The sequence below is a fragment of the Homo sapiens genome, chromosome 8 (assembly GCF_000001405.40).
Source record: "Homo sapiens chromosome 8, GRCh38.p14 Primary Assembly".
Classification (NCBI taxonomy): domain Eukaryota; kingdom Metazoa; phylum Chordata; class Mammalia; order Primates; family Hominidae; genus Homo; species Homo sapiens.
The window spans coordinates 81,086,324-81,112,069 of NC_000008.11; the positions used below are offsets into that span (position 1 = coordinate 81,086,324).

Below are 25,746 nucleotides of genomic sequence, written 5' to 3' on the forward strand. Positions count from 1 at the left end.
CTTATTTAATAATGAATATTTACTCTAAATCAATTTATTACTGAGAGTACTGTAAAAAGAAGTCATCTATCTAGTTCATTTTTTCATCCTCAGACAGGAATACATTAAAGCAGTTCAGGGCAAACATGAGTAGTTCTTACTCTCACTGTTAGGGAAGAAGGCAAGAAATGTGTGTGTGTGTGCGCGCGCGTGTGTGTGTGTGTGCATAAAAGGATGCAATAACAGGACATAAAAGAAAAAATATTTGAAACATATAGAAGTGGAATAGTCTCTGGAATATATAAAAATGCCTACGTATTGATAAGAAAAACATAAACAGCCCAAACAAAAAACAGGCAAAAGATACAAACAAATATCTCTCATGAGAAAAAGTACAAATTGTTCATAATTGTAGGAAAAGATGTTCCACCTCATTGGCAGCCAGGGAAATGCAAATTGAGGCCCATAATAAGATATTATTTCATATCTACTAGACAAGCAAATTAAAAAGTATAACGTCAGGTTATGGTGTGGAGGAGGTGCATTGGGGTACTCTCATGTACTGCTTGTGAGAAAGTAAACTGATATAACCACATTGAAAAAAGTTTCTCATTGCCTTTTAAAATGTACATGTCCATGACTGATGATAAGTACTTCTATTCTAAGGTATATATCTGAGAGCAGGGGTCAGTTTGCTGACCCCTACTCCATGGCCCACAAGCTAAGAATTACTTTTACATTTTTAAAGAGCTGTAGAAGCGGCCAGGCGTGGTGGCTCATGCCGGTAATCCCAGCACTTTGGGAGGCCAAGGCGGGCGGATCCCGAGGTCAGGAGATGGAGACCAGCCTGACCAACATGGTGAAACCCCGTGTCTACTAAAAATACAAAAATTAGCTGGGCTTGGTGGCATGTGCCTGTAATCCCAGCTATTCTGGAGGCTGAGGCAGGAGAATCGCTTGAACCCAGGAGGTGGAGGTTGCAGTGAGCCGAGATCACACCATTGCACTTTAGCCTGGGCAACAGATGAGACTCTGTCTCAAAAAAAAAAAAAAAAAAAGAATTTTAGAAGCATCAGCAGCAACAGTGACTACATGTGCCCTTGTAACGCCTAAAATATTTAGTACCTCGCCATTTACAGAAAAAGTTTGCTGACCCATTTTAAAGAAATTCTTGCATATTCTTTGCATTGTGTTAATAACAGAACAGAATGATAAAACCCAAATGTCTATCAACAGGAGAGTGGATAAGTCAATTGAGGAATATTCATACAACAGAACTGTATTCAGCAATGAAAATGAACCACAGCTAGATGCAACATACTGTAATCTCAATAATAACTGAGTAAAAGAAACAAGTTACAGGGCACACTGAGTAGGACTTGACTTGCACAAAGTTACAGAACAAGCCCAGCTAATGTTTCGGGGATAAGCGCATGCATGTGGCTCTGTGGCTGCAGGAGAACAAACCCTCGGCTGCAAGGCTACACTGCAGTCAGTCACCTGGGCTGGTCAGGCACCCTGCGCTGGGGCCAGAGACCCAAATAAGCCATTTTGTATGTTGTCCACTATGATTTAAAGATTTTTGACAGTTTTAGGAAAGGGAAGAGATCTGAGATGTCATTGGGCCCCTCCTAAATACATATCAAAGATCAGTGGGGGGAAAAAATACTGATTTAAAGCTGAAGATTTCTCAGAACCAACATTTACTCTAATTTTAAAATACTTTTGTACTGTCTAATTACCTCATTTTTTTCCCCAAAAATAACTCCTTAATATCTATTATCTCAAGAGAGCTTTGGGTCTGGGTGTGCTTCTTTAATTATGTATTATTTACCTCCCAACTCCTTCCTAAAAGGATTTGAAGCAGCCTGAGTAATTTACATGTTTATGAAAGAAATGTACTAGACACAAGTGGAACACTGTGTTTCAGCAGTAGTTCATTAGAATTACAACTGGTTATCAATGCTATTTTTATGATCTTTAATCCCCCAAAGTCCATTACCCTTCAAAAGAATAGTTCCTGGCACTAAAATAAGCATTCCATAATCATTATTAACTGCGGATTTTTTTCACCTCTCTTATTTTTTTCTCTACTGCATTTAACACCATGATGTGTTTATCCTTGTTATAGTTAGGGGGTTAGGGTTACGGCTGGGGTTAGGACAAATTGCAAAATGACTATAATACAAATAGCAAAATGACTATAATACAAATAGCAAAATGACTATAATACAAAATAGACAAACAGCAAAATGACTATAATATCTTTTGGTGTAATCAGAGAGAGCTGGGTAAGGAGATCTAGAAAATAGTGGGAAAGTACTAAGTCACAAAAAAAGAGCCCAAATAAATCTGCCTTGCCTATTTAATACTAGCAAACAAATATTTGAACAGACAAGCAAACTAACCCCACCACCCACCTTCAGAAAAGAAGCTAGCTTAACATGCCAGTGGAAAGATATAGAAATGCTAAACTCTAATAAGAGCAAAGGAAAGTTGTTATGGAAAATATCAAAGTGAAAGGATTTAGATAAATTGAAGAGGTTCATTTATCATCCTTAAGGAAAAAAGGCAAATCAGCAAAGGACAGTTTCTTTCTTGTCAATAATAGCTGATCTATTTGTTTTTAGCTTTTTGAGAAAGCATTGTACTACATTCTTATTGTTCACTGCTGTAATTTAATATGCTAAATGATTTTTACAAGTGGAGATTTATCACAATGCTTTTAAGAACTGTGAAAGATCTGAGATTTCACCCAACTTACAAGTTAACAAGTTGGCCTGCACATTTTTACAGATGCTGGAAGAAGATACAAAACTCCTCGGTCTGAGACAAAGGACTTAATTATTTATGGGATAGTTAACAGCATTAAGTTTCATGTTCAGTCACTTCTACTTGGTGTCCAAATACAGGGGGCACTGTGGAGGGACTCAGGCAGACGCTGTGCATGCAGTGGGTTTGTATCATACTTAAAGAACCCTGATGGGCCAGGCGCAGTGGCTCACGCCTGTAATCCCAGCACTTTGGGGGCTGAGGTGGGAGGATCACGAGGTCAGGAGATCGAGGCCATCCTGGCTAACACAGTGAAACCCCGTCTCTACTAAAAATACAAAAAATTAGCCAGGTGTGGTGGTGGGTGCCTGTAGTCCCAGCTACTAGGGAGGCTGAGGCAGAAGAATGGCGTGAACCCAGGAGGTGGAGCTTGCAGTGAGCTGAGATCGCACCACTGCACTCCAGCCTGGGCGACAGAGCGAGACTCCGTCTCAAAAAGGAAAAAAAAAAAAAGAACCCTGAGTTTAGGGAACATGAACTGTTCATAATGGAGCCTTGCCCTGCTGGGAGACATTATCTTTATTGGATTGTACAGTAAACAAACCTACCCTTTGCTCTGGAGGGAAACACTATCTTTAGCTTCTACAGCTTTATCTTCTACAGCTACATTACAAACATCCTTGAAAAGACAGTTTAGAACAAAAGGGTTGTTAGTGCCTCTGCTTGCATGACATGCAGAAACGTGAGAGTCCATAAAGAATGGTCTCCCAGCATGCTCATTTAAAAAACAAAACAAATCTGTGAAGGAAGATGTTGATTGAAATTGCATTAAAATTATAGATTAATTTAAAAAATCAAAGATGATCCTATATTGAGTCTCTCAATCCATAAACTCTGCATATATCTTTCCACTTACTCTTAGCTCTTTTATGCATTTCAATAGTTCTATAATTCTCTTCACAAAGGGCCATGAGTAGTTTCTGCTGCTAATGTAAATGGTATTTTTATATAATTAAAACAATCTCAAACAATTACCTAATTTTCCTGGTGTACAGGAATACAGCCATGACATGTCCCACAATTTTTCTACTCTCTCTCCCAGGTAATTTGTGGAACTCCCTCTTGGCTTTATCAATCGATAGCATTCTACAAATATTCAGTGAGTATTCTATGTCCCTGGGGTGGACTATAAAACAAGAACACATCTATGGAGCTCTTATTCTGTGCCAGACTCTGTTCTGATGCTTTCTATATATTAGCTCTTTTATTTCTCACAAAACCCTATGAGACATTCTGTTACTTAGATGAGGACAATTAAAAAGATAGGATATGTAACTTGCCCAACACCACAAATAAGTGATTGGTTCCTACAGACTAGATCCAATGCTAGACACTGAGGAAATAAATATTAAGATGTGACATCGGCCTTCAAGAAGCTCATAGTCCAGTGGGAGAAAGAGAGACCACTAACCAGCAATTACAGCAGTGTGAAAGGCATTTTGAAAGGGATGTAATAGAGCACATGGGAATGCAAATGAGGGACATTGAAACCAGATTAGGTTGAGGTGGTTGGCCAATCAGGATCAGCTTCTCAGAGAATAGGACACCTGAAGAGGGAAGTCAGCTGACGAACTCTAGGGAGTGGTTTATGAAAGCCTCGGGCCACACGTGAGGAACTCTGAGTTATATAACTAGAACACAGATCACACAGCAGAATGCAAGAAATGAGGCTGACTGACCACCAGGGGTCTGATCGCAAAAGACTCTATGCCACATTAAGGAGTTAGATCTCTTACCTGGAGACAATGTTCAGAAAAATCAATGAAGGATTTTAAAGAATGACCTGAGCAGATTGGCATGTTAGAAAATTCTCCCTGGCAGGAGGGTGGAAAATATTGATAATATAGTCCTAGCCAAGTCTGGCAGAATGGAGACTAGCTAATACAGGAACATATGTCATCCAGATGATAAGGGTCTAAACTAAGAGAATGGCCGAAGGATTTGAAATCAAAAGCAGATTCAATATTTAATAGATAGAGCATACAGACCTTGAAGGAAGAGGCATCAAGAGTGATTTCCTGTTTTATTGGCCTCCTCTATTGAATGGGAGACAGTAAGGCAAAGACTACAGGAAGATGTAAGATGTGGAAGAGGGAAGCATATTGGGGCACACTGACAAGCTGGTTATTTGCACATGCCGAATTAGAGTTTCATATAGCAAAAATTCATTTTGTATCAGGCACCTAAGGGATTCTCCAAAAGATGCACTAAACACAATTCTTTTCTCCTATGATCTAGTAGAGAATCATGTTTCACTTAATGACGGGGATACATCCTGAGAAATGCATCACTGGGCAATTTCATCATGCGAACATCATACAATGTACTTACACAAACCTAGATGGTATAGTGTACTACATACCTAGGCTATATGGGGTAGCCTATTGCTCCTAGGCTACAAACCTGTACAGCATGTTACTGTACTGAATACTGTAAGGCCATTATACTACAACATAGAAAAGATACAGTAACAATATGATTTTATAATCTTATGGGACCACGGTTTTATATGTGATCCATCACTGACAAAAATGTTGGTATGTGGTACATGATTACATACATATATAAATAAACAATTCACAGTAGGACTTGGTAAATGCTAAACTCCATGAAAGCTTCAACAAGCAGTCCAAGGACCAGTTTTATCAATGGGATTTAAAAAATGCATCCTAAGTCACAGGATGAAGAAAGAAGAAGAAGAAGAAGAAGAAAAAAAAACACCCTGTCCAGGTGCAGTGGCTCACACCTAAAATCTTTTGGAAGGGTGAGGCGGGAGAATTGCTTGAGCCTAGGAGTTCAACCCTGTAGTAAGCTATGACTGCATCACTGCACTCCAGCCTCAGCAACACAGCAAGACCTTGTCTCAAAAAAAAAAAAAAAGAAACAAAACTTGGATAATATTAGTTTAGGCATCTGTCTGAATAAAAGTAAATCCAGGCTGGGTGCAATGGCTCACACCTGTAACCCCAACACTTTGGGAGGCTAAGGAAGGTGGATGGCTTGATCTCAGGAGTTCAAGACCAGCCTGAGCAACATGGCAAAACCACATCTCTGCAAAAAAAAAAAAAAAAAAAAAAAGGAAAAGAAAAAAAAGAAAAATTAGCTGGGCATGGTGGTGTGCACCTATAGTTCCAGGCTACTTGAGGCGCTGAGGCGGGAGGATTGCTTGAGCGTGGGAGGTCAAGGCTGCAGTGAGCTGTGTTCACTCCACTGCAGTCCAGTGCAGGTGACAAAGCAAGACTCTGTCTCAAAAAATAAAATCCATTTGTGAATATTAAAATGACAATATCATTTCCTATAATGAGGCAGTGAAGAAATACATTTATTCTGAATATAATTTGATCTCTGTTAAATATGACAAATCCATAGAATCTACATGTCAGAATGAAGGGGTTTCTAAATGTCAACTAACCATCAAATGTTGATGTCCCTCTACAGATTCAGCAACATTAGCTTGATCCAAAATTGTATCCCTCGTCATGGAACTAATTCAACAAATGAAACAGCATTACAACTTTTAAAATTAAGTTCTTCATTGAGCAGTATGCTTTTCTCCACCTCATATAGAAAAAATAATGAAAATTGTTTCTCAAGTTCATGGTATATACCACTTTACCTATGTCATAAGGACATGGGTCTGATTTAATAAATCACTTTTAATCCCTAACTGATCTCAAAACTAATGCCGATTTCTTGTGGTAGTGAGCTTTAACAGGAGAAATTATATGAGAATTGACAGAGAAAGCACAAAACACGCCTTGTATCAGATCTCTCTTTAAATCTCAACTCAAAACCTTCTTAGCTGCATGATATAGGCAAGTCACACCACCACTTCAACTAGATTTTCTTTCCTACAAAGTAGCAATTGTGAGGCCTTAATGTACGATACATATTACTGCACTTAAAAATACTTGCTCCTTAATAAATGTTTAATAAGTGAAGACATATACTAAAAACAACAACAAAACAGAGCAAATGGTATGCTGACAGCATACAGCCTTCTTGGCACCATCACAACCAGCTGCACAGAGAACAGAACTGACTGTATGCCTTACCTGAATCTGCCCCAGGTAAGGCATCTACCTTCAGTGGGTGAGACATGAATCCAGGATGCAGCTAGAATTGGGGAGATAATCTAACATGATTAATTTTAAAAAGTCTGAGGGTGGTCCGAAAGTCTAGAAACCAATGAAGACCCATGTATAATTAATGGTATGTTCATTTTACTTCACATAATATGTTCTAGAACATAGATGTTTCCAGACTTTACGAACAGTCTATGTAATCAACACATAAATGCTTTCGCATTTTATCACAAAGCTAAAGCCTCTCCCTCATGCAAATCCATCATTCTTAAAATTGCAGTTAACTGTCTTCCTTTCAAGATTGTCTCTGAGGTTCCTCTTTCACTTAGACACAAATGTAGGCACAGACAAGGGGGTAGACACGTTGCCTTTACAACATGATCATGTCTTGTATGCCATACCCCCAGATGTGGCCCTGAGCCCACCTTACACCATAAATGATGTGAGACTGACCACCAAGACCAAGCAGCACAATATCCCCCTAGGGAAACCTGTGACAAGAAATCACCCTCTCTGGACGATCAGCCACACGCAGTAGCAACTGAATTTGATCGTTGCTGATGAAAATAACCTCAGGAAGGAGTGTTCATCCAACATTCCAAAATAATCAAAGCAGCAATCTACACTGTGACAATCATGGTGTGGTCTGTAAACCAAACGGCCTGCCTTGCCCTGGTCAATTCTGCAGGACGTAATGGCCAGGCTTCAGGGGGAGGTATAGCCCCTCCATCACTTCCTGGCATCTCATTCAAACTGGGTTCATGCCAGAGACAGGCAGTTAACACCCTGCAGTCTGCTGTGGGGTGTGGGCTGACATTCTAGAGGATGCTGCGGTAGGGCTCACTGCGGTTCTCCCCAGCTGAGAGCGTGTGGTGGAGCAGGGGGCCACCATAGGAAAATGTTTTCTTGTCTTTTTTTGTTTTTCATCTTCTTCCTCTCTACCTATACCCCAGGAGGGACATCGTCCTAAAAGTCAGGCCAGGCTAAACTTATTATGATATTAAGTCTTTCAGATAAATATGTTCAATACCCTATCCACATGAGCAAATTAAGCTAGAACCTTCCTCACACATTCAGATGGGGGCAGGCAGGTAATTTATTGAAGCAAATGTGTTTTCAAGCCAGCTTTTAAGCAAGATTTCTAATTATCAGTGTGCTTTTCACTCAGCAACCCTCCTCCACATCTTCAACATCATTTTTGCAACTCTTGGTTCAAGAGCCACTTAAGAAATAAATGATTCATGGCAACTGAAAGCATGACAATTTTCTGTGAGGCCTAATGGTTGGGTTTCTAGGTCTATGGGTGATAAAATTATGCTACCCCTTAAACCTTTCAACTTCTTTTATGGGAAAAAGAGGCCCAGAAACACCAATATTAAGATCCAAGCTCTTCTTTGCAATATATATATATTTTCCCCTAGAACTTAAAATTCTAGCTTTGAGGGAAAAAAAAATTAAACTTCTTCAGAAAAGAGAAAAGCTAGCAAAAATGAACACTCTGGTTCTATCCCAAGATGGGATATATTGAGTCCTGTATCTGAGAGATTGACCATGTTCACTCATGAAACAACCCTCAAAGGTGTTCTGAATTTTGCAGGGTTGTTCTTACCATTTTCACACAGGCAGGACTCTCTATGAAAAGAAGCACATTGCTTTGCCAGCCATAACATGCACCAGCTGTGTGACCTTGAGCCAGATGCTTAATCACACTGGGCATGTTTCTTAATCTGGAAGCTAGGAAAAATACGTTTTTCTTACAGGGTTGTTTTGAGAATTAAATGGAATATTAAAGTGAAAGTACAGTCTTTAGACACAATATTTCTCAAAGATTGGTCCATGAACTCCCTGCATCAGGTCATTTGAAGTTTTAATGAAGTCTTCGATGCCAATCCACGTCATTAGATGAGGACCAGGTACACAAGTTGGCATTTTAAAAAAGCATTTTAACAAGTTCATTAGGTCTAGTGTACTCATGGGGCTGTGAGGTCCAATCTGGGTTTGGACAGAGGACAGAGGACAAAAGAGGAGCCCAGCATTTCAGCATCAAGTCAGCATGCTGCCTGTTCTATTCTCACCAAGTATCCTGGTTTTGAGTTCCCAGCATTGCTGTCTTGGATTCCAATTCACCCTTTGTGCTGCTACCAGAGTTATCTTCCTAAATATAAACCTGGCCATGCTGCTTCCCGATCCTGAGTACAGGCACCCAACCTCAACTCTCTGCCCTTCTGGCCTCCTTCAACTGCCTGCATATACTCTGTCCAGGGTGGTCTCAATTCATGCAAACCCTGGTTGTTTTGGTCACATTTCAGCTTAAATGTCTCTTCCTCAGGGGGACCCTCCCTAGCCTCCCAGTCACTCCTAACGATGTATATATATTTTACTCTCTGCTAAAACCAAATGTCTACTACTGATAATCCCTTGGTTATGTGATTGTCTCTTTCCACTAGGAAGTAAGGGTAGATAGCCTGTTTGCTTCTATATGTACTACCTATCCCTGTGCCTGCTACATACTAGGTACTCAATAAATGTATGCTGCATGCCCCCTTAATTAATTATTGGCCTGCACCACTGCCAGCCTTGGCAAGGTTCTCACACTATATGTGTAAGGCTGATAAATACAAAAGCTGCATTTCTTACCATGCAACAGGACAACAGCAGGGTGGTATTTGCTTTGTGCAATATCTGTGCTCAGGGAAAATGAATGAATAAACAGAATTTCTGTAAACGGACTCCATTAAAGAAGGCTGGCATTTAAATAATTCTTATGAAGAAGTTTGTTAAGTGAAGCGTTTTGTCTTAATTTTTTTGTACAACTGGATATTCACGTAAATTTCACATTGGATTTCCTTAAAACAGCTCTGAATCCTTGTTATTAACACCAAAATCACCTCACTTAAATTTTCCTACTTACTAATAAAAATAAAACTACTATATTTGGAAGAAATAATTCCTTAATAATAAAGCAATGAGGTCCAGAGAGTACTGTAAGGCACTCATGTTGTAAGTGTTCTCAGCTCCTTTAGAAACTGTAGAGCCGTGGGGAACAGCCAATGGTCCTTGCGTATGGCCCTCTGGAAAATGAACATGCATTCTGACCCCCAGAAAGTCTTGAGAAGAGACTTCACAAAGATCACTTTATAAAAAAGGCTACCCAAATGAATCTCTGCCCAACTCCTGGACTTGATAATATATAAAAAGGGATTTTAGAGGCCCATAGATGTATTAAGAATAAAAGAAAACTACAAAAAGATGACAGCTCAATTTTGGTAGTGGCCTCCCCTCTTTAATTCAGCAAAATTATGTTCTACACAATAGTTTTCCAGCAAAGACTCTGCCATCCATCTTTCTTGCAAGTGAAAAGTGAAGTGAACAATCTCTACTTGAGAACTTTAATTGGTTCTGCTGTGTGTGTCCTTTGGGCTGGTGAGTTTCAAGTGAGCTGACAGCAGATGAGCGGGGAGGGTGCATGGCTTTGGTTTACAGAGCCTTACAAAAAGGAAAAATGGAAATACGAGGTTGCAAAGTAGGATGCCCAGTTAAGAAAGGAAAATCAGGCCCCTGGTAGGCTGCCTCATGATGAGATAAGTAAAGGCCTTGCCTGGAATGGTTTCTGGCCTGCTGGGGGCACAAGGCTGTCAGGAATTTACTGATGAGAACACAGGCCTAAGGGGAAGAAGTCACACCAGCCAGGTGGGCATAGGTGCCACTTAGCAGAACTCATTCTCTTCAGCTGAAGCTGAAAGCAAACAGAGGGATGAGGAAGAGTTGTTTGTTTTTTAATCTCTTTTCATCCTTTTTCAAAACTCCCTGCTACCCCTTCCACAATTGCTCTCATTACCTACAACAGACAGGTATTACACCCTATGCACCAGTGGTTCTCAGTGCTGGCTGCATCCCCAGGGAAAGCATTTAAAAACTACCAAGGTTGGGGCCCCACCCCCAGGGCACTTTAACCAAAATTACTGGGGGTGGGCCCTGGAAATAAGTTATAGTAAACGTGAAACTTCCCCAGGTGATGTTAATCACAGCCAACATGGAGAACCACCCTCTAAAAAGCATCACCAGAGCTGGGGAGGGGTAGGGGTGGAGGATGTCATTAAATGTGGAATGGGGTGCGGCAGCAATAAGGTGAGGTTGTCAGCTTCTTAACAACAGGAAATGTACTAACAAGAAGGAATGTGTGCAAACTCAGGAAGACACTTGGTAAGAGGAGGCAGGTGCAGTACCAAGGCAGGACAAGTTTAGCTCTTGAAAGCTGGGAGGTAAAAGAGAAAATGATATCTGCAAAGAGGCTGTAAGACTTGTGAGAAAGTTATTGGCAGAGGCTGGAGGAGGAGGTGGGGGTACACCAAGACACCTATGAAAGAAGTCTGTGGGTAGGAAAGGCGAGGTTCGTAATTTCACAACCAAATGGCAATGATTCAATTTCATACTGATGGTTCACCTTCAGACAGAGATTTTGGTGGCACAGTTGAATCAATTAAGAACTTTAAAAAAAAAAAAAAAGAAGTAATAAACAGTAGTAATGTAGTCCCTGGTACACGCTTCTGAGTGTCTACAAAAGCATCCAGAATTACCACCTCACTCCCATGGGTAGACCTTAAGCATTACGTTGCTCTTTGAAAACTTAGTACTGCCTTGATGATGCTCTTGAGTCCTTAGAAGACAACATTCTTGAATGTTCCTATAAATGTTTTATCTGATGCTGGTGCAACACTACACTCTGCTCTTTCCTATAATTTGCAGAAATTGGATCCCCTTGCTTGTAAATGGGTCCCATTATCTATAGTATATTCTGCTTAAGTAATATTGCTATAAGAGTATGCATTTTATTTGTAAGAAAGCAAATTGTACACATCCATCAAAATATTCATTTACATTCACGATGGGTCTATAGCAACTCAAGAGTGCCACAGGAAACCAGTTAAGACCCACTGGCCTGCAGTTATAGTTTTCTAAGTACTACCAATGGAAATCTGGAAATTAAAACAGACGTGAAATTTATGGTTAAAAGACTAATGGGCTTGCTAAGGACCATTAGGCAAATTACATAAGATGATTATGCAAAATTCAATAATTTGCAACAAGTCTTTAATGTCTTGGTTTGGACTGGCGTCCTACTTCTGAGCTGTGTGGGTCCACTACAGAACCCCACATAGTTTTCTTCATGTCTTTATCTTTCTTGAACTCTAAATATCTTTCCTTAAAGAAAATTTACTCTAGTGGATTCTCCTCCCTGGTTTGACACTCTTTCTATAGCAGTCTAGTCTCATGGCCCAGGATTTCATGATGGGTGTGAGGGCTTCTGAGCATGAGTCTGGGGCTACCTGGGATGGCAGCTGCCATTGCTACCTTTGGATTTTTCTCCATGGGTATCTTTTTGACCCAACAAAACCATGTTATTCTTCTTGGGCCCCGGGGCTGGTGCAGATGAACATGGCTACAATCCAGGCCTTCAGCAGAGAGGTGAACCACAAACCACAAACCTAGCTGGCCATAACACATCTGTACCTGGCCTTCATCCACCAAAAGTGAACAGCTAATTTGGCATTTTGTCAAGTCTGATGGGAAGTTAACGTGAAAAAGAAAGACAAATATATCCATGGCTAAGTTAAATGAAGTGTGTATATGGCAGAGAGGATTGGAGGGTGGGGAGCTAGAAAGAAGATGAAATGCAATAGTTTGAAATGCAATATCCTGGGATACACTGAGGCAGTCTCACAAACCTTTACCCACAATTTTGAAATGCAAAAATTTCTGAAAACAGAGTTTGTTATTTTGCTACGAAATGAGTTTGTTCCCCAAACTGACCTGAACTGACATGTGGTTAGTTTTTCTCTAACTAAATGTGAATATTCATCTACTTTGCTACAAAAATTACTGTGTGTTGCCTGGATCCCATGGGGGTATTACATTAATATACAATGAATACACTGTATTACCTTTCTAAAAGCTGAATTCTGAAAGACATTTGGCCCCAAAGGGTTTGGCTAAGAAATGGTTGACCAGAATACAGCTCCCAAACAGGCATGTTCTCCAGATTTAATCCTTTTGTAGTTTCCCCACATCTTGAGAGTATTTATCTGACTTCAGCTTTTCAATGCTTTCTATAACATTATTTTTGTAGACAGAGTTACAAAAGTAGTAGAGGGGGTGACCACCATTGAAACAGGGACAAAGCTGAGAAACAGGCACACATTCCACTCTTACACATGTGCTTTACTTCTTTGCTGCATGTTTCACTTTATTAGTCTGAGAGTTCCGATAACTAAGAGTCCCTGAACCTGCACTGTAGCATGTGTATGGTACAGGCAATATAAAAAAAATAAGGTGATGCTGATCTTGAAAAAGAAGATAGAAACTACATTTTTATTGGTAAATATTAATATCTCAAATGAAATGTCCAGAGATTTGCTAAAAGGCAAATATATAAGGACAGAAAGTGAGACAGAAAAGAAAGCAAGCAATAGAAAGATTGGTGGCTTCCTGGGGCTGGCAGCAGGAATGAGAACTGCACACAGGCACAAGGGAGCTTTTTGGGGTGATAGAAAAGTCCTAAAGCTGAATTGTGGTGACAGTTCCCTAGCTCTGTACGTTTACTAAAAATCAGTGAATTGTTCAGTTGAAATTGGAGACTTTTATGGCATGTAAACTAGAACTCGATGAAGATGATGAAAAACTCATTTCCTAAATTCCTGAAGTAACACTTTTTATGTCAACACCTTCCCTTCTTTCCTGACATTTCACAGTAATGCCAGTTGAAATTTAAAAAGACAATAAATAAAACTTACTCCTAATTGTCAAGGAAAAATTAGAAATTCTTTACCCACAAATGACTGATATTACATTTAGTCAGAGAACAATCCCTTCCAGATATTCTCTTATATTTAGCAAATGAAATCTAAATTATTTTTATCTTAACATGCCATGCATACCTCTAATCACAGCATACATCACATCAACCAGTTTGATTTTATTTACTAATCATTTTGGCAAAGACAGGGTATACCCCTGAGGCAAGAACCATGTCATAGTCTTCATTGTATTCTCAGAGCCTAGTAGGTGTTCAATAAATGATTACATTATATGCAATGATTTCTTCACCAGAACTATCACTTTTCGTTTGCGTAAAAAATATAATACAAATTAAACAGACATCCCCTACCTTCTAAATCAGGGTTTCTCAAGCTTAGCACTCTAGACATTTTGAGGTAGAAAATTCTTCCCTGGGGAGGGCTATTTTGTGCATTGTGGAATGTATAGCAGCATCCCTGGCCTCTACCCACCAGATGCCAGTAGCATCCCCATCCCCAGCTGTGCCAACCAAAAATGTCTTCAGACATTGCCAAATGTCCTCTAGGGGGTTAAGAACCACAGTTCTAGACAGAAAAAGTTTAACATGGATCAAACCAAACCGATGGCGGACGCATTTCAAAATGCCTTTCATGCTATGGCTTCTGAAGCTAATGAGAACATCAAGAAAGAAAAAGCATACGACTAGCAAATGATGATTCTCTGACCACAGTCCTTGGCATATTACAGGGAGAGAAAAGGAGAGATATTCTTTTCATTCTCCATGTAACTGTGGAGAAGCAAAAGCTAATTCTAATATAAGGCTGACAGTTTTTAGGAAATGTGGAGCTGTGGAAATACATAAGAGAAGTGTCCAAATGCCAAATAGCCTGTGGCTATAAAACAGGCTGAAAGAAGCATGCTTGTTGCCAGCGCTGCGCTGTTCATTATGAATTGTATCTAGGAGAACGATTTTGAAAATGCTATTGAATATTTATTAAAAGGAAAGATCTATAATTCAGGATGTGACATGCCACTATTAGCAAATAACTCAGCCAGTTGGAAAGGTTAAGAATGGTGGTAGCGAAACCATTAAATTAAGTGTAAGTTTAGTACATCAGTGTTATTTTTCTCAATGACCACAGTATTTAGCAATCCTCTTCCAAATATCTCAGCCCCAAGACTAAAAAGCTGTTATCCATATTGTATCCTTTTAATAAGACTCCAGATGTTTTGGTTTCAATTCTACCTCGGACATACTGAGCATTCCATACTAAAGGTCAAGATGTACATTTTGGGCAAAGTGACCACTACATAATAAAGCAAAAGAAAAATATTCGTAACACTAAATATGTACAAATATTTATCAGGACTTATGATCAATATTTTAAAGCATCTTTATTTCTTATTTAGCAAAACAAAGGAGTGGACTTCTAACCTCAACACCAACAATTTAGGCAATACAATGACACCATTCTAGTTTTCAGCCATGTCTATATTTCTTATCAATCTGTTCGTATAAGAGAAAACTACCACAGACAGTTACGTGTTAATTCCTAACACTTAAAAAAGGAAGCATATCTTTTCCAATTCTATTGGCAAAAATATTTATATTTTGCTCTGTGCGCCTACTGATAAACATAAACAGGCTTTGGACTCTTTAGTATTAAGCATGTAATTCCTAAATCCACTAACAGAAAGAACATACAGGATGTGCAAAAGCTCTCCATTCAATCAAGCTCTAACTGTACACATAATTATGGTATTCAAATTAGATTACTAATTTAGACATGTTCTATCATGTCAAGTATACACTAACATAAAAATGTCTGAATAAAATTCAATAAGAATAAGAAAAATAAGACAAAGAAAATTTAATTACTTTTTAGAAAATGAAAACTCCTAGTACATAATATTAAAATATATACTCATAGAAAGATGAGTACGAAATGCAGTTTAATTGTTCATCTTGGAAGTGATTAATAAATACAGTAGTGTCAAATCACCTGAACAGAACACTAACTCTATGCCCTGGATTATCATATTTGCATTTGGATGAAATTGGGATACATGAGGCATGAAATGACCAAATTAATCTTCATTTTACCTCATTTGAGTTTCCTCACATATTATTATAAAGTGCAATAAAAATCAAATATAAAATACCATATTACTTTGTATTGTTATTTAAATTTTCACATGCCTATATTGTAATTTTTCAACTACATTGGACTAAGGCTACTACAATGCACCATGTGTAGTGATAATTCAGAACTAAGATAGCTGCCTAACGTTTTTTAAAACTTTTTAAAATTTATAAATGTATTGTTATTTTTAAAAATCAGCACCAATAACAAAAGAGCAATCCACCAAATGTCACAAAGGCATAAGCCCCTTTGGATTCAACTTTTCCTACCAAAGCTAAAATGTAAAATAGGCACCATGAAGCTTGAAATTGAGATTTAGGGATAAGCATTAGCACCAGCATTTTGCTACTTGCTAGAAATTGCTTTCATCTGGAAATTGCAATTTAGTAAGCCTCCTAGATATTTTTTGTGAAAGAAAAAAATGCAGCATCATAAAGTTTTTCCACCAGCCACAACATTCTATGTACTTTTCATGATTCTAATATTACTGTATATTAACAGCTAATATCTGCTTCAATAGTAGCAAAATTAGGTAAATAAAAAATTTAGACTATCAGGAGCCAAAATACAAGTTGTAACATTAAACTAAATCCCTTAGGCTCATCCTACATCATTTTACATTGCTTACCGAAGACAAATGCTTTAACACTTTGGCATTAAATGAGTAACATAATAGCTGCTTTGGCAAGACAAAGCAAGCAATATCATTTAATGTATCTGGAGAATTCAAAAATATTACAAAAGGAAAACCAATAGTTTAAAATTAATTAGGCTAAATTTTATTTTTTATACATGCACACACAGGTACGTGTACACACGGAATGCCTCTTACAGACAACAGCCATTGCAATTGCTGAAAAATAAATTCCCACTGTATCACAAATAAGTTTATCTACAATAATTTTATAAGTTAAAATATTGAATCCTTATATTTATACTCAGATTCTTTTTTAGTGCTCTTGAGATAATGAATGCAAAACATGTTCATTTTGTGGGAAAAAAAAAAAAAAAAGCAGATTTTCCCCCAATCTAACTTAATCACATATATTTGCATAAATAACCTGTGGCCCATCAAATATAGAAATTGTAGCTGATACAGCTTCTACTGTTGGTGCTTTGAGCAGACTAATAAAGAAAATCTCTTAAACATAACACCCCCTAATTCTTCTTTAGTAGCTATTCACAAAGATACAGCAACATGATGGAGTGGTACGAACCCAGGACACCTCATTTTGGATCCTAGAAGCTCTACCACTTACTAGCTGTGTTATCTCCACCCACCCATCTGAACCCTGTATCTCAGTTTCCTCATATGTATAACGGGAGTGATTCTACCTTTAGGTCAAAATTAAAGGACAAACGTTTGAGGACTGAAAGGCATAATATTTAACTAAAACATACGGTAATTATTTCCATCATCTCCAAATACTCCAGTTAGTCTATAATATAATGTGTCCTGTTTTTATAAGACAAGTGAAAATTATAGGATATTTTACTCAGCATACATCAAATAATCCAGTGAGCCGAAAGTCTCATTAATAATTACATAAGCATTGGCTCAAAGGTCCAAACCCTCTAATAACATTATGGCCATGATAAAAGCTTAGTTTTTACAATCCGTCAAATAATGGATCATTTATCACCTTCTCTTTCAGTGTGTTTATTTTGTGGATAAAATGAGATATGCCCGCTATGGGGAACTGAGGCACTTCATGCACCAACAAAATGATTCTTTCATTCTTTCCATTCTCCCATGAAGCCTGTGTCCTGCTGTCAATGAAGGAGAAAAACAAATGGAAAAGAAAAATAAGAAATGATAATTCTATAAGCTTCTTGAGATCCAGAAAAAAATAAGAAATGAAAATTCCATGCGCTTCTTGAGATCGAAATTCATGCCTTGTTATTTTATTTCTTCCCCCCATCCCCTTTCCCACCCACCTTCCACATGGTAGGTCTTAATATTTATTGACCAGAACCGGAAACTCTAGGAGTAAAAGCCACCATTATCTGTGTAGATGGAAGCAAGTTAACAGTCAGACCTGTCCCTTTGCTCTCTTTTTATTTCAATTTCATTTCTTTTGTCACTCAGTTCCCATTCAATCAAGCATCTCATTCTGCTTTGCCTCTGGCTTCTGCCACTTTGTGTCCAAGCACTTGTCAAAAACTTCTCTTGCTTAATCTTACTATGCCATCTCTTTTTCTTCTGACAGCCACCTTGGCCTTCGTCCTTTTTTTTTTTTTTTTCAGTCCACACGTTCTCACAGGCAGATCACAACCTCAACAACAATTTCAAATACACGGAAGACTTGCAAACCTGCATTTCCAGTTCGGCCTCCGTTTTGAATTCCAGAACCACAGGCTGTACAACTGCCAATTGCATCTCAGGTCCTGAATGTCCCTCTGGTGCCTCACAGTGCATAAATCCACAACCTGTCATCTTCTCCTGCAAACTGCTCCATCCTCTGTATTCATTATCATCTCCAATGGCAGCCTTATGGATTCAATTCCCAAGCCAGACACCTGGGAGTCATCCTTAAATTCACCATCCTCTCCTTGCTTCTCCCCTTAATGTCCCCACGCTTATCAGTGGGAGTTTAGACTTTAAATCCACACCAGTATTCAAAAGCTTTTTTTGCACAGCTTACTTTGTCTGTCCCTTACCCCATCCATTCTGTGTAATATACCCAGAGTGATCATTCTAAAAAAGTACTCAAATTCATCTACAAAACTAAATATGGCCCACAAGACCCTCCAAAAGTGGCTCCAGCCTCCGCTCTCCATCTCCAGTCTCACTCCCCACCCTCAATGTGCACCAGCCACATGGAATGACCAGCTGTTCCACAACCCGCCTCTCCGGTACCTTTGTTTCACCATATTCCCTGTTCCCTCTCTCAGAATAATTTCTCCCTGCCCACTCCCACCCTTAGCCTCCTGGTACCCTCCTACTGGCTCTTCCAGACTCCATCAAGCCCGGCTGCGTTAGGAAAAGTCATCCCCTTGGAGTCAGGCACCCCTGACGGAGCCAAGCATCCTTTAAGCACTGGTTCCAACTGCTGCTCAGTGTCTCCTTCCCTCATGAATCTGAGATTCTTGAGGGCAGAGAGAGGGATTTTCTGGTATTTGAGGTCTTATCATCTAACAATGTGCCTGGTATCATATTAATATATATCTGGTGAATGTATAAATGAATAAATACCACCCTTGTGATATTTAGTGACCCTTCAGTCACTAAATTTGACTGAAAACACAGACAAGCTGCTAGTGATTGATTACATGTGAATTAGAGGCTCACAGCCCTCCTTAGAAGGTGCCAGGAAAAAATTAATAAGGCCACTCTGGTTGCAATTCCCAACTGCTGAATGCAGAAGGTGTGGTGTTCTTGTGTATAGCTATGTTAGGGACTGGCTTTTTTTTAATGAAAAGAAAAAAAGTATTGTGTTATGTGTTTTTTCCTTTGACTTAGAACATGAGCTCCCTCAACACTTAAGTTTCCCAATAGTTTCATCATGTTCCACCACAATGGGCATGATGAAGGAATGGGTATGGTTTGGGGTGAAAGGATGGCGTAGGGGGAAGCAACTTTAATAGTAATGATGGAGTCACAAATACAGTGAGACGAGATGCCTGAGAACTTATCTGATCACCCTTCATTCCTCAGAGAATAAATTCACATAAAAGCTTACATATGCAACCCTGGGGCTCTCTCAACACGGAGATGGCAGATGACAGTAATGCTGATTTAGTCACACCTTTTGGTACTTTTAGAAAATCAAGAGAACCTGATTACTTGCAAATGAATACATGATACGGTACCTAGGGATTGGGTCAGCTGGACATCTGTGAAATGGGAGAGGGAAGTACAAAGCTGTTAGTGACCAATTTTATTTTTATTTATTTATTCTGAGACAAAGTCTTACTCTGTTGCCCAGGCCGGGGTGCAGTGGTGTGATCTTCCTGGCTCACTTCAACCTTTGCCTCCCGGGTTCAGGTGATTCTCCTGCCTCAGCCTTCCGAGTAGCTTGGATTACAGGTGCACACCACCATGCCCAGCTAATTTTTGTATTTTTAGTAGAAACTGGGTTTCACCATGTTGGCCAGGCTGGTCTCGAACCCCTGACCTCAAGTGATCCACCCTCCTCAGCCTCCCAAAGTGCTCAGATTACAGGCGTGAGTCACCGCACCAGGCCTAGTGAGCAATTTTAAAACTACTTCTTCTTCCGTATTTTTTTTTTTACTTGCTTACTCCATAAGGTTCACAGGATTTCAGGAGCTCTGCATTTTTAGCAAATGCCCCCAGTCAGGCCAATTTCCCTGTCTTCTGCAATAAACAGTCTACATTTAGGAGACTAAATTTTTAAAACGTTTTTAATCACTTCTCAGGTTAAAAAAATCATACAGTCCTATAACATCAAGGATGGGGGCAAATGAGAGATCAACAGGATATGCCAAAATATTATAATCACAATAATTCCTTTATAATTCAAACTCCAGGGGATGATATGAATTAACTTATTGAACAAATATTGGCACCAGTATGAAATCGAGAAAAAATAGAGGGGGCAGGGCTCAGGGGAAGGGTTTTGAAAATATTACGAGATGGTTTTAAAATTGTCCTTTTACCCTCCATTTTGACTGGAGTTAGAAAGGCTATGATACAGACATGGACGATTTGATGCAATGTTCTTACTATAAGATAACACGTTTAAGCCTTACTGGTTAGACATAAGTGTTCGTTTCCTTTGAAAACCATAGTCTCATGGGATGACAGATGACACTGCTGTAGTAATGTGGTTCTCCCATGACAGTTCACTGCTGATACTTCTTTAGATTTAAATAAACTTATTTTTCTTTTAAATCACCCAAGAAAATGTCAGGTCTCCACACTTCTCCTTTTTTTTTAGTGAGAATGATGCAAGTATGTGACACTAAACACAGATAAAGTTAACATGCCTCCCCACTGTGCTCTACTACCAGTTGAAGGCTTTATGCTTCCTATTTCACAAAGCAGACATGTGGTTTTCTTTTTTGAGCTCATTGCGTGAACTAAGCTTAAGCTCTTCTTCTACAAAGATAATGGAGATGATATTTCCTGTGCTGTCAATTCCTGCTCCTGGCAGTGGCTAAGAAGGTAGGCATGTGTCTTCCCACCATTCCTTCACCTGGGGACCAAGCAAGATAGTATAGGATTCTTCTGAAAAGCATAATATAGTCCATCTATATTATGTAATATATAAATCCATGCAATAGAGTTTAGCTATCACAAAGGCTCAAAAATCAGTGGCAGCAGAACGTTCTATAAGTATCACGGGCCTCCTTGCACAGTTCTGGGCTCCACTCTTTACTCTGAAGCTCACTAGTGTCACCGTGGACAAGTGCCCTGACTTTTCTAGGCCTCAGTTGTCACTTCCACAAAAGAGGATAATAAAGTACTACCACACAAGGTCACAGTGAGGATGAAGGGCAGTTCTTAACATGGCAGCCAACACACAGTAAGTGCTCCCTTTAAGCTATTCATTCCAATTCTTATCCAGAAAGATAACCAGTAAGGACTAGAAATGTGGTCATATAAATTATGTACAGAGCTGTTTTCCCCTCATACTTAACCCCTGCCCTTGAACTCAGCAATGAGCGAGCCCTCAGGGGCTGTCTCTGCGGGGCTGCACATGAACTGCTTGCGTGTATAACTTGTATAACCTCCCAATGTGCCTCTCACAATGCATGAGGCAGGAGCTCTGGAACTATCAGCTCCCAACTCCTCAAGCCCAAAGTGAAGAAAATTCAAAACAGTACATATGACTGTCAATGGTCTTCATTCATTTATATCCATATTAAAATTAGTTTGCATTTCTTTTACATGTATCTTTTGATGGATGTCAGAAGAAAATTATTCAGAGATTTAAAAGTGACACAGATAAGCCACTAAATAGATAACAGATAACATAGATGAGAAATGAAACAACTATATGTATATTCTGAGGAGTTAGTTAATAATAAATCATGAACCTCATTCAAGTCACAAAAGTGATCAGGGGAGACTTTTACTATAGAATAACCAACCCAGAGCAGGGGAACACTTGAAATTAACTATTAAGTAAGCAAAAGGGAATATCTGTTCTCTGAAAAGGAGGGTTCAAGTTGAAACAGAAGATAATTCAGAGATGTGAGATGACTCAGTCAATGGCAGGGGCTCTTTTGGGCACTTTGCAACTATGGTATTGTGTCCCCAGGCACATGGAGGCAGCCTACAGGAAGAGTAGAACTCTCGAAGAGTTTTGATTTTTTTTTTAAAGCCAACTTTGAGCATTTATATTGAAGCACCATTCAGTGTTAGCATACATTAGCTAAGAGATTTCATTAAACATTAAATCAGTCTGTGATTTAAATTAAATCAGACTGTGAGCAGTCTGTGGTCTATGTGCCCTATACGGCAATTAGATTTTAATCTCTAGAAATAAGACTTACAAAAGGCGAGAACACTATCTAGTATTTGGGTGATAACCTAACACAGCCACAAAAATGCCATGACCTCTCAATCATTCCCCACCTCTGGAACCCAGCTGAGAAGTCTAACAAGCTATGGAAACCTTAAAGGAAGTACTGCTCACACAGCACCCCGGAATCTGCTTCCCATGACATGGGGTACTAAGGCTTGAAGGAAGCATGCTTATTTAATGGTAAGTATAAATTATTTCTTTTTCTGAACATGCAGTTTAATATGAGGCAAAGTGCAAGGCCTCTCTCTGCCCAAGGGAGTTCTCCAGCTGGGACTGAATGCATATCCAGGGATGACGCTGTTTGTGGATTGATTACTGCTGCCGTGGTGGTTTCCTTGACTGTGTAGATTGCTGCAGCTACACGTGCAGGCAGGAAACCAAATGGAGACCACCACCCTCCAGTGTAAACTCTAACATCACACCAATTTTTCTTTTTTGACTCTCTGAATGCATGAATAGAAAAATAATAAAGCAACAGAATCCACTTCAAATTGAAAGACCTGGCACCTCTACCACACATTAGGAGGTATGGAAGCATGGGCAAGTTATTTAACAATAATTATGATCATTTCTGTTGTGGGTGCTGTTAAGCACTTTGCATACTTTAATCCTTAAGCTTAGATTTCTTCATGTATAAATTGAGGATAATAATGCAACTACTTCATTTGCAAGTTGAGGCAGCAGGGTCAAAAAGAACACAGTTTCAACACAGACAGACGTGGGTTAAATGCCAGCTCCAATTTCTACTATTTGATCTCACTGAGCTCCCATTTTCTCATCTCTAAAGTAGAGATGAAGCCACTTACCTCAAAGGACTGTGGTGGGGAATTGAGCAAGACAGTGTTAAATACCAGTTGGTGTCTGTATCGCTAGACAGTGCACAATAAATGTTTATACCTTCTCTCCTATTATACACATGAACTGCTTCTGTTAATATTCATCAGCAGCAATTCAATGTCCATAGCAGCAATTCAATGTCCATAGAGTCCAAAGATGCATTTCCTTTCATAACAATGAAAATTTTTCCCAGAACAAGCTTAATATGCCAGATACTGGCCCAACAGCTCTATGTCTATGAACTCATTTAATTCTCACTACTGTTCAGTGGGGTAGGTACTACTACTGTCATCCCCATTGTACAGATGAAGACACTGAGGCACAGACTTTGGGTTACTTGCCTAGATTCAAACAGATGGTACCAGAGCTGGCAGCCTGGCTCCATAGCCTGTCCTCCTAACCAGGCTGCAATAGGGCTTAATGGGTCAATCTGTTTGAGATTCCATGCTTGGATGTAATCTCTTCTAGAGATAAGCACTGGATGCTCTCACAAACCGCAATGTGTTGATGTGACTAACTTTTCAACTTCTGAAATAACATTTTGTGTATTTTCTTAGTATTCCTAAAAAAAAACCCTTTACACTTTAAATAAGGTGCCTATAACTAGTTCATCTTGTTCTGCATGCTGAAATACCATAAATAAATGCACTTCTCTCTTCAAAGATTATGTAAATAAATCTTACATTAAAACATACCCCTGAGCTTTGGTTTAAACAATAATTTCAAGTCCAAATTAAACATTTATGTATGTGTATATATATTTAGCAGGAAAGTCTTAATATGACCTATTTTGTTAAACTAATGACATCTATACCCAATACTCCAAATATTCCTCTTATTTATAATATTCGCTGTGTAACAGTCACACAGCAGTACTGCATGGTACTTCAAAGTACTATTCCTTTTACAAGTTTAACCAACTCAGGTATTAAACATCAATGATGATAATCCATAGCTCTGCTTAAAAGGAATCTCTCGGGAACAGCTGAGAAAGAAAGGTTAAAGATTTCTATCCTTCAAAGTAGGGCACTGCAGCTACCTATAAATCATGCTCTTTGTTTATTAAGATAATTAGGCCCATCAGTACACTTAACTTTTAGACTCAACAATTGTCTGGCATGAACAATTTCCACTTTTTCTAAAACAAAGGGGATGTGTTCAAAAAGCGGTCCTCTGCATGCTCTCTGCACAATGCATGCTATTTTAAAACATGATTTATGGGTCTAATTCCTGGAGCTGCCTTGAAAAATATAGTGGGTTGTTCCTCCCATGCTCCCTATTAGGAGAAGACACTCCAATTTGAAGAGTGCACTCTGTTTCAGACTTCAGGCCGCTATATCATGTCAGCATTTTCAGTAAATACTGTTCAATTGGACTTTAAACAAATGGAATGGAGGGCCACAGCTGCAGCCACTGCAGAGATAAAGTTATCCAGCCGGGAGGCTTACATAAGAGGTGCAGGACAATCAGGGTGAAATCCAAGTGTCATTATCTGAATCCTATTTCTTGAGACTTGCCTACATTCTTAAAGTGTATGAATTCACACGCCCAGAGCTCGTTTTATTTGCCTTAGGGCATAAAACACCGGGTCGACATATAAGTTGTTTTTTCCCTAAAGGACTAGGCTCCAATTATGAAAAGGTTGGCAACTTCTGCCTAGGGGAAGAGTAAAGCGGGATGCGCGGGAAGCCTGCAGGCCTGAAAGAAATGGCTCGCCCAAAGATCCATCGCAGTGCTGGCCACACTCCCCAGAGGAATTAGGATGGAGGTGACAAGACCCTGCCCAGCCCCTTCACCCCAACGTAAACACAGAGTCAAGGAGCTTGGAATGAATAATTAGCACGCAGCAGTCGAAATGCCCTAGGAGTACCTGTCCTCTCCCAGCATATTTCCAACTGGCACATTCGTGAGATGCTGAGGTCAGCCAGCCCTGGACTCCAGACCTTCCAGCTGCCTTGTCCCCTTCTTGGCACCCCGCACTCCCTCCTCGAGCTGGAACTCTGTTAACAAGAGGTGCCACCCTCGGCTTCCCACAAGAAGATAAAAACGAACCTCTCCTTCCCACGGCTCCCTCCAACTTCAGAAACTACAGTCAACTTACTGGGACTCAGGAGGCAGGGAGTCTTCCTGGCGGACGGCGCTCGGAGGCAGCCTCTGCAAACTCCGGCGCGCAGCGCCGCCGCCCCGGCACAGCCCGGCAGCAGCGGCAAGTGCAGGACCAGGCGCCGCCGCTCTGCACCAGTCGCCTTGGCTCAGCTGTGCCGGGCGCCGGGCATTCGCCAGGGCACACGACTCAGCGAGGCGGCGGCTGGGACTGAGGCTACTGCACCCGGCCGCGCGGACCCGAGCGCTGCAGCTGCCTCCAGCCCCGGAGCGCGGCGCTCCGAGCCCCTGGTGGGTGTCTCTGGCTCCAAGGGAATCACGGCTCAATTAGGGACCTGCCAGGAGAAAAACCGATGCGCTGCCGCAGGCAGAGCCGCCAGCCCGCCCCCAGTCGGCTGGTCACATCGCGGGCGCGCAGACGGACAAGCGAGCGGGAGGGTACCGCAGCCAGCACTCGCCGCCGCGCCGCGGAGAATG

General features: G+C 40.0%; 1 protein-coding gene across 17 annotated transcripts in view, besides 5 other annotated features; it reads right to left on the minus strand.

Moving 5' to 3' along the window:
- Positions 1–25,745, minus strand: part of PAG1 (phosphoprotein membrane anchor with glycosphingolipid microdomains 1) — a 144,259-nt gene extending 118,514 nt beyond the window's left edge. For 11 of the 17 annotated variants that reach the window (XR_007060746.1, XM_047421985.1, XM_047421986.1 and 8 more), the window contains exon 1: positions 6,224–25,745. The gene's annotated coding sequence lies outside the window, so the exon portion shown is untranslated. The remainder of the gene's footprint in view (positions 1–6,223) is intronic. The other 6 variants (XM_047421993.1, NM_018440.4, XM_047421992.1 and 3 more) reach the window with 2 other exon arrangements.
- Positions 7,397–7,596: an enhancer, noted in NCBI's record as "active region_27573". NCBI's record gives its function as "activates an Ori minimal core promoter by ATAC-STARR-seq in GM12878 lymphoblastoid cells {active_cell/tissue: GM12878}" and the evidence as "EXISTENCE:reporter gene assay evidence [ECO:0000049][PMID:35858748]".
- Positions 7,897–8,156: an enhancer, noted in NCBI's record as "active region_27574". NCBI's record gives its function as "activates an Ori minimal core promoter by ATAC-STARR-seq in GM12878 lymphoblastoid cells {active_cell/tissue: GM12878}" and the evidence as "EXISTENCE:reporter gene assay evidence [ECO:0000049][PMID:35858748]".
- Positions 11,039–11,088: an enhancer, noted in NCBI's record as "active region_27575". NCBI's record gives its function as "activates an Ori minimal core promoter by ATAC-STARR-seq in GM12878 lymphoblastoid cells {active_cell/tissue: GM12878}" and the evidence as "EXISTENCE:reporter gene assay evidence [ECO:0000049][PMID:35858748]".
- Positions 20,941–21,090: an enhancer, noted in NCBI's record as "active region_27576". NCBI's record gives its function as "activates an Ori minimal core promoter by ATAC-STARR-seq in GM12878 lymphoblastoid cells {active_cell/tissue: GM12878}" and the evidence as "EXISTENCE:reporter gene assay evidence [ECO:0000049][PMID:35858748]".
- Positions 25,191–25,260: an enhancer, noted in NCBI's record as "active region_27577". NCBI's record gives its function as "activates an Ori minimal core promoter by ATAC-STARR-seq in GM12878 lymphoblastoid cells {active_cell/tissue: GM12878}" and the evidence as "EXISTENCE:reporter gene assay evidence [ECO:0000049][PMID:35858748]".